Consider the following 3198-nt stretch of genomic DNA (forward strand, 5'->3'; position numbering starts at 1 on the left):
AAAATCTGCACTCATTATTCTGTAGAACTGAGATAACTTTTGTCTGCTTCATTCATTTGTTGATGACTCAAACTCATTTATTGGCAAACATTATTTGAATGAGTTTCCTATTAGTCTCTCTTAAAGAATATTAACAATAATGATATGCAAAAGTCAATATTCTTTACTACACAGACAAACTGAATTTCTCAACCCACTTGACAGTTTAAAATTGCCATTAGGAAGAATTTGACTTTCAAGGAGAATTAAATGGCATTTATTGTGGTGACTGATTATCAGCATAAGAACCATGCATTTTTCTGCTACAGTAGAGGAAATAATTTAATTAGTCTGTTATTGTAAATGTTCTGATTTTAATACATTAACTTGTGGCCTGCAGCTGATAGAAAAGAAATTAACACTGACTCTTTTTGACTGTGGAATGAATTGGATTTTCCAGGGCAAGAAAATTAATTATAAATGCTCTCTATTTAAGATTGCCAGATTTTTTATGATAAATGATGTAATTATGAGATGTCAAGTATACAAATAGTCATGCATCGACATTTCAGCTTATTAATTCCAACATTCACCATTGCGTATGACATATTCTTCACATTTAATTGCTCAGTAGAGGGGAGGCAAAATCATTGTTCTCCTCATTTTCCTTGTGATTTTCAGGCAGTACATTTCAGAAGACGTTGAATGCTAATGCATTAAATTTCTGATGACAGCCTCATGTTGCATTTTGAGCTAAGACCAAAATAAATAAAATTCAGGATAAAGTAGGATAAGGCAACAGAAGGAGGAACAAAGCTTTACAAAATGGCAAGTTGGGTGAAGTTTGTCTTCAGCTCCCTCTCATCTCTCTGTTTCCCTTCCTCTCTTCTACCCATTCTGGGGTGTGTGAATGAGTCCTTGGTGCCTTGATGGCGAATTCTAGGGTCTCAGGAGCTTCCACCTTTCCCGGAAATGCTCTCCTTCTCTCATTGATCAGTGTCCCTGTTCATTCTGTTACAGCATGAATACAATTGAACAGCATCGGAAGAATTCAGGGCCACTCCCCTGTGGCCACAGTTATGAGTCACAGTTGATAAGGTACATAATCTTAAAAATCCTGCAGTACCTTTAAAAATAAGTTTGTATTTTGTTCATCCCACCTGTGATGTTCAGTTTTACAAGTCAATGCAGTTAGGCTACAGTTCCCAGTTATCCAATCAAACACCAATCTAGGTGTTGCTATTTTGGTATAGCAAAAGGTGTTTTGTAGTTGTGGTTAAAGTCTGTAATCAGCTGACTTTAAGTAAGGGAGGTGATCCTGGACTATTTGCATGGACCAGTATAATCACAGGGGTCCTCATTAGAGGGAGGCAAGTGGGTCAGAGTCAGAAAAAGAAGACATAATGATGGGGGCGGAGATTGAAGTGATGCCCTTTGTGAAAATAAATTCATCAAATTGAAGCTGTTGGAATGTTAAATTATTTTGAGGCTTGAAGGAATGTGATTGTGAGATCTGAGTCATGCAGCCAGCAGCTGTAACCTTTGCTTCACCGATGATAAATTAACCCTCTTCCTAAGTTTTCCTTGTTTTGTAAAATGTTGTGAAAGAGTAAATGGCACCAGAGAGAAGACCCCTTCACTCTTAATTACTAACCTTTTATTATAGATTAACTGCCTTCTTTCTTTTCTTGCACACAACTCAGACCAGATGGTGCAAAATATCCCGTGGCTATCAAATTGCTTAAGACAGAATTTTTTTAAATTAAAAAATTATTTTTTTTAGAGACAGAGTCTCATTCTGTAGCTCAGTGCAGGGGTGTGATCACAGCTCACTGCAACCTTGAACTCCTAGGCTCAAGTAATCCTACTTCAGCCTCTCGAGTAGCTGGGACTACAGGCACAAGCCACCATGTCTGGCTTAATGTGGACTATTAAATATGCCTTTCCTTAAAAGGAATAAGCTGTAACAAATCAAAATTACTGCAACTCATAACCCAGTCTTATGTGAAAGTGTTGTAATCATGGTAAACTTCTTTGTATTTATCTAAATGAGTGTGAAACCCTGACCTCTCCACCTCTGAGCACTGACTCCACTCCTTTGGAGTTTGTATTTCCCAAGAGGACAAATTCGAACTTTGCTCTTGAATAAACTCTTTAAATTTGGATTCTGATCCCTTTGTTTATTTCAGGTTAACACCTTTGATGGTGGAGGAAGGAGCTGCCGGGCAAGGAACATGGGTAGTCCCTAGTGGTTGGAAAGACATGGAAAAGCAGATTCTTACCTGGAGCCTCCAGGAAGAACCAGCCCTGCCAAAGTTAGGTTTCAACTCATTGAGACCCATTTCAGACTTCTTACCCCCAGAATTGTAGAGTGAGAAATTTGAGTTGTTTTGAGCCACTAAGTGTGTGGTAATTTGTTACTGCAGCAATAGAAAACTCATATACCATAAGATACCTCTGAAAATTATGCAAGTGTGTAAAATCTACTATTTATTCAATCTACAAAAACTGCTTTGATGCCTATATGCATGCAAATCCTTCTTGCAATAACTCTGCTACACCTCTAGAGGCACAGTCCGTAGGTTGATACCATTGACCAAAACAGACAAGTGTGGGCCAGGCAACACCTCCCATCAGTCCCTGCTGCACTTTCCCTTCTAGCCCTTGGTAGAGTCTCACGATCCTTCTCCAGGCAGCCATGTCCAGGCTTTCAAGATGAAACCTATCAGCTTTCCCCATCAGACCTGTATCTCATTTTCCCCCTTTTTGTTACCTGAGGCAGGCAGAATTCTAAGATGCACCCTAAGATTCCCAGCCCCTGGCATATATACCCTATGTAATCCCCTCTCTTTGAGGATAGGCAGTACCAGTAAATATGATGGATGCCACTCCAGTGATTCCATCCCTAATCAGCTCGCACTGAATTAATCAAAAGGAAGATCATCTGGGTGGGACTGATCAAGCCAGCTGAGCCCTTAAAAGTGACAAGAAGTAGCAGCAGAAGCTGTTCTACTTAACAAAGAAAGCAAACAGCCATGTTGTAAACTGCTTATGGGGACCATGTGGCAAGAAGCGTCAGGCAGCTACTAGCTGAATAAGGCCTTGGGAGATGACCAGCAGGAAAGGAGAAACCTCAAACACACAGCTAGAGGGAAATGCGTTCTGCCAACAACGCTGTGAGCTGAGAATGAAACTGTGAGCATGATTACGAGAAAGGGA

Source organism: Homo sapiens, chromosome X (assembly GCF_000001405.40).
Source record: "Homo sapiens chromosome X, GRCh38.p14 Primary Assembly".
Lineage (NCBI taxonomy): Eukaryota > Metazoa > Chordata > Mammalia > Primates > Hominidae > Homo > Homo sapiens.